This window comes from Homo sapiens, chromosome 20 (genome assembly GCF_000001405.40).
Source record: "Homo sapiens chromosome 20, GRCh38.p14 Primary Assembly".
NCBI classification, from domain to species: domain Eukaryota; kingdom Metazoa; phylum Chordata; class Mammalia; order Primates; family Hominidae; genus Homo; species Homo sapiens.
The window spans coordinates 62,701,800-62,707,799 of record NC_000020.11 but is presented as its reverse complement, the minus strand read 5'-3'; positions in this window follow the sequence as shown (position 1 = coordinate 62,707,799).

The window sequence follows — 6,000 nt, the reverse complement described above, 5'->3', positions numbered from 1 at the left end:
CAGGCTTTGCACACTCCCTCCCTCTGAGTGTCCTCACAGGGTGCCCCGGCCCCTGGCTCGGGAGCCAGGTGAGGGCAAGATTCCTGTCCTTTCCGTGTCCCCCCCAGCACCTGGTGGCACTGGCATAGGTGGCCAGGCACAAGCTTGCCCCCCCCTCCATGTCTGGGTTGCCCAGGGGCCCCCAGGGCACTACTGTCCCTTCTCTGGGCCCTCCCCGCCCCCTCCCCTGCTCCCTCCTCCCCAGAACCCCTGGGAGAGGTTGGGTAGAGCTGCTGCCCCATGTGTGCAGGGCTGGGAGGAGCTGCTCGAGTGCAGCCCAGGGAACCAGCCTGGCCTTTGTGCACATGGCTGGCTGCACCTGCTGTGCTGGGAGCAGGAAACCTGGGCAGGCTGGGGCGGGGGTCGCAGGGTGTTGAGGGAAGCGGGAGGCTGAGGAACCCCCTCCCGGGCCCGCCCAGCTAGGAGAATTCAAGGCTTCTGAGCCGGTGGCTGGCAGCGGGACTCTGTGATTATTCGTCCGTTCTCGCCCTGCTTTGGACTTCTCTGTTCAACCGGAGCCTGATACTCTTGTCAGGGGGCTGCAGCTCACAAACATCAGAGCTTAGAAATCTTGGCATCAAAGGAAACGCCAGTGATCCCTTTGCTGGAAGCCAGTAGATAGGATTGAATGTTGGCCCTGCTACTTCACATTTGGGCGAGTGTGCTTAGCGTCTCTGTGCCTCGATTGAGTCGTCTGTAAAATGGGAATAGCGGCTGAATGAAGGGCAGGGCTGTTACTGATGGGTCTCCACGGGGAATGAACGAGGTCGAATGGGCTGTCGGGTGTGAGGTGAGGTGTTCCATCCAACTAGAATAGGCTGGAGTAGGCCAGATTTGTCCTCTGGAAGACACGATTCACCAGTTAAGTACACAGGTTTTTTTATTTTTTTATTTTTTTTATTTGTTGAGATGGAGTCTCGCTCTGTCACCCAGGCTCGAGGGCAGTGGCGCGATCTTGGCTCACTGCAAGCTCCGCCTCCCAGGTTCTCGCCATTTTCCTGCCTCAGCCTCCCGAATAGCTGGGACTACAGGCGCTAATTTTTTTGTATTTTTAGTAGAGACAGGATTTCACCATGTTAGCCAGGATGGTCTCCATCTCCTGACTTCGTGATCCACCCGCCTTGGCCTCCCAAAGTGCTGGGATTGCTGGCGTGAGCCACTGCGCCCGGCCAAGTACAGAGGTTTGGGCGGGGACCTTAGCATCCACACCATGCCAGGGAGTACAGGTGCTGGACAGTGTGAGGTCCAGGCGCTCACCACTGTCTTGGTAACACTGGGGCCTGACCACGGGCTGGGCCATCAGGCGCCTCTGTCGAGACCCCCACAAAGAGGAAGTCCACAGCAATGGCCACTGGAGTCTGTCCCTCTGCCAGCCAAAGCAGGAGGATGCAGCGATTGTGCTCTCCCTCTGCCTAAGCTCATTGTTTGGTTTTTAAACCCCTGACCTTTTGGCTAAGCTGCCCTTATTTTCAAAGATTTATCTGTGAGTTGGCCTGGGAGCTTACAAAATCATAAAAGGCAACATAGTGCAAATATTGTGTTGGAGCATTTGCTTAAAACCACATAGGAAAATGTCACTTGGAAGGCCTTGTTCTACACAAGGCAGATGGCAGGCCTCCGGTGGGGACCCCTGGCAGCCACGCCGCTCGGCCGTTCTGAGCTCTTCTGTGCACTCACAAACCGGATGGCTCAGCGGCTGGAAGCTCTTAACTCCACGTTGTTTGCCCCTTTCTCTTCTGATTTCTGCAGACAGAAGCCCTTCCTAAACAGCTGAGACTCTTTAAAGAAAGTGCCGGTGAGGTGCTTGGGAAGGGACAGGCCAGGTCCGGTCATGCCCATTGGGGATGCAGCCACACCCTTGGCCAGCCGGATGCCTTCACTGACACGTGAAGTCGGGCACGCCTTGTGGGGGGCAGGGCTCCGGGGGCGAGTGTCTCCTGCAAGTTGGAGAGCCTTGGGGACCTGCTGCCCCGATCCCAACACTCCCAATGCTGCCTGTTGAGGAGCCGGCCGGTCCCATGGGCAGCGAGGACCGAGGTCCACGGGCACGGCTGTGATTCTAGGGTGCAGCAGGCGTGCTGAGCTGGGGCAGCCAGTGTGCTGGGGACAGCCTGGCTTTCTGTGATTTCCTGAGTGGTGTGAGCGAGGCATGTCCTTATTACCAAGCAAGGTAGTCATCTGTGCCTGGGGTGACAATCACGTCCAAAGAGTCACCACACAAGAGGTCCTTGGAAGCACGCTCCCAAGGGTGGGGGTCCCTGCTTGTTTCATTGGCTAGCTTACCCTGAGTCCCTCCAACACTGCCCGGCACGGGTGGGGGTCCCTGCTTGTTTCATTGGCTAGCTTACCCTGAGTCCCTCCAACGCTCAGTTGGCGCTCACTGGGTTTGTGTTGCACTAGTGGAGCAGATGCAATGGTGAACAGGATGAGGCCATGCCAGCAGGATGTGCGAAACCCGTCACTGGTTTGCAGCAGGCTTCAGGCTTCCAAATGTAGGAGAGCCACCATCTCTCCAGCCTCCAACCTTCTCTTCCCTCAGGCCCCCAACCGCTGTTGGGTGACTCTTGCTAGCAGGAAGGCTTCTTATTAAAATTGAAAAAATTAAGTTGACAATAACACCTGAATCAGTTATCTATTGCTGCATAACGAAATGCCCCCACACTCAGTGGCTTAAAACAACAGGCATTTATTATGTCAGTGGCAGAGTAGTTGGTTTCCTATGAGGACGAAGGCGGGTGGGGCAGAAACGTGGATGTGTTAGAGGCACAGAAGATACGTAATAAACATAATCGGTAGAGCCTGGCTATAGATTTTCCCACCCACAGCATGGAAATTGCACGTGTTCCAGGACGGACGGTGTTCGAAGGAGGATCTTTAAAAACAGAGCGGCACCTGCACATGTGTACGCACAGTGAGTGTTCGCAGGCGGGCAAGGAGGGCGGAGCCGCTTTCCAGCCTCACGCTGGCTGCGCTCCAGGCATCTCTGGGGCTGTTGGCAGATTCTGGGGGCTGTGCTACAGGCTGATCAAGCCTCAGTCATCGGCATCCTTGTCCTTCACATTCCCAGGCCGCCCCTTGGACCTTGGCCAGCTTTCTGGAAACATGAGCTGTGTTCTCAGGGAAGAACCAGAAGAGGAAGCAGGCGTGGCTGCCCACAAGTGCAGCGGCTGCTGCATGGGATAAGCCCCGGGAAGGCCAGGGATGCCGAGGGCAGGTCGGGGTGGCAGGCTGGAGAGGAGGTGATTTCGAATTCCAGCTTCACCAGGCCTGGACCCCCAGTTTCCTGTGTGTGAAAAGCATGACGTGGCCCCTAGGTCACCAGGCTGCTGTGAGCCTCCTGTGATGTGCACACACTTCATTCCACACAGAGGCCAGGGCTCACCCTGGTGGCTGCAGGGCAGCTGGAGAGGCTGGGTGGGAGAAGGATGGCCTGGAGGGGGGTCACACACTCTGCCTTTGCCTGAGTGGGACACACTCGGGGCGTTGCCGTGGCTGTCTTGTGCGCTAGGCTGAGGATGGAGAGTGATTGGCCACCAGAGTTATGTGAGGTCCCTGTCAGCGTTATAGACACTCGGCAATCCAGTTTTGGGCCTCAAGTGAGCTGGGATGGCTGTTCCACATGGTGTCTGCAGGTTGCCTAAGTAAGATGGCACTGGCAGGCTGGGAGGCTCAGGGTAGGACAAACAACTCACTCTGGTTTTCCTGGGACTTTCGAGGTTTTAAAACAGCAAGTCCGGAGACCTGGGAGCTGGAGCCCTCTCAGTCTCAAGCAGTTGGGGCTGAGGGTCACCCTGGTTGTGTGCTGTGGGAGTTTGCTCTTGCAGCTTCCCTCCCTTCCCAGGCTCTCTCCTGCTCCGTTGACCCTCCCAGCCCAGGTCTCCCCCACTGGGACCAGGTCTCACCACTCCCTCCAAATCCCAAATTATCCAGGGTTCCTTCTCCTTCCACGGCTAAGAAGCCAAGAATCTTCTAATTCAAACCTGACATGGCTCCGTGGAGAGCTGGCTGCTCTGTAATGGGCCTGGTTTTCAATCATGTATTTCCTCCGGGCTCTGATTCAGCCGGATGGTCTGACTCACGCAGTCGTCAAACATATATCAACAAGTGTATCTCTGCCATCTGCCTGGAGGCCAGAGCCTCCTGGTGAGCCCTTGACTCAAGGGCTCACACCTAGTGGGCAAAAGCAGCCAAGTTCCCTTAATTTTTGTGCCCCCCAAAGCCATCTGCCTTCCACCTGGCTCTGCGGGAATCTGGCGCAGGCTTGGTACCCAGTGGACAGGGAGATGTGTGTTGAGCGAATTGTGAGCACCTGGAGGGAACAGCTGGCAATTCACCTACTCAGCCTTCCCCCTCGTCTGGGTGCAGCACCCCCAAGTCTTCCTGTGAACCGCCTGCTGTCCACATGGTGTGTGTGCATGCATGTGTGTGTGCACATGTGTGTATACCTGCATGCGTGTTGGGCTCCCAGACCCAGGGTCTCAGAGGGTCCTCGTTGGCAGAAGCAGGCCTTCCCAGGCTCATCTCCTGTCCTTGCTCTGAGACCCCGCAAGAGGCTCTGTCTCCTCTCCCCAGGGCTGGCATGCACCTGGCAAAGAAGGCTGTGCCCAGCGGGGAGGGAGGAGGGCGTCCTCTGCCTGCCCCGCCATGCTTTGTGTTCTCTCTGCTTAGACGCACAGAGCGGTCTCCTGGCTGCAGCTCCGGGGAACGTCTCCTCCTGCTTGCAGTTGGTTTCTCAATGTGAATGAGACTCTGCTCCACCCGACCAGGCAGAGGGCTCGGGATCTGCAGTCCGACCCAGGGGCTTCAAATCTTGGCTCTGCCACCTCCAAAGTGAGCGACCTTAGGTGACCCTGAGCTTCAGTTTCCTCATCTGAAGTACGGGGATGTTAATTGTGCCTCACATTCATGGGTGTGGATGAGATGGGGCAGCCCACATGGTGGGCAGAGTAAGGACCCCAAGGATGTTCATGCCAGACTCCCCAGAACCTGTGAATTTGTTGGGGTGCCTGCCAAAGGGGATTAGGGGGCAGGCAATTAAGGCAGCTCATCAGCCATGAAATGGGGAGGCTGTGCTGGGCTGTCCTGGGCCCAGAGGAGTCACAAAGTTCCTTAAATGTGGAAGAGAGAGGCAGAAGGAGAACCAGAGTGATGGCAGCCTGAGAGGGTCTGGCACATTGGACACACAGGGAGCCGCAGTGCTGTCCTCACAGCAGGCCAGCTGTGAGCATCCCACACTGGCCGTGTCCAGAGAGCCTGGCTGAATGGTGAGTGAATGAAGGATGGCTGAAGTGGGCTGGGGAGGTGGGAAGAGGCTGCTGGGGCCCAGTCCCTGCCGTGCACCAGACCTCTCCCCTCCAAGACAGCACGAAGGGCCCAGGGTCCCCCAGGCTCCCTCTGCCCACCCTGGCACCAGACCTCTCCCCTCCAAGACAGCATGAAGGGCCCAGGGTCCCCCAGGCTCCCTCTGCCCACCCTGGCTGCACCCGTCCTGGCCTTCATCTCCAAGCAGAAGGCGCTCAGGACTAGAGCCCGGCTCCACACGGCTCGGAGACCACTCCCCTCCTGTCCAGCTCTGGTGTCTCAAGCTGTGCTTCGGGGAGTAAGGACAGACGGGGCCTCTTAGGACAGGCCAGCCCGGGATGAGGACAGAGCATGCAGAGGCCACAGTCCAGGTGGCTGCAGCTGCTCTGCACCTGGAGGTGGGTGTCCAGGAGACCGGGCCCGGAGAGCGGCTCTCCATGTGGAGCAGCGGGAGGCACAGTTAGGGAGAAACCTTGCCCACGAAGCTCCACGTCCCTCCCCAGCTTGCTGGACTGTGAACAGGGGCAAGGACTGGCGCCCTGCATCCCGGCTCCCTGCACCCTGGCATCCTGCACTGTAGTGCCCTGCACCCTGACGTCCCTGCCCTGCACCCCGACGTCCCTGCCCTGCACCCTGACGTCCCTGCTGGCGCCTTGCTGG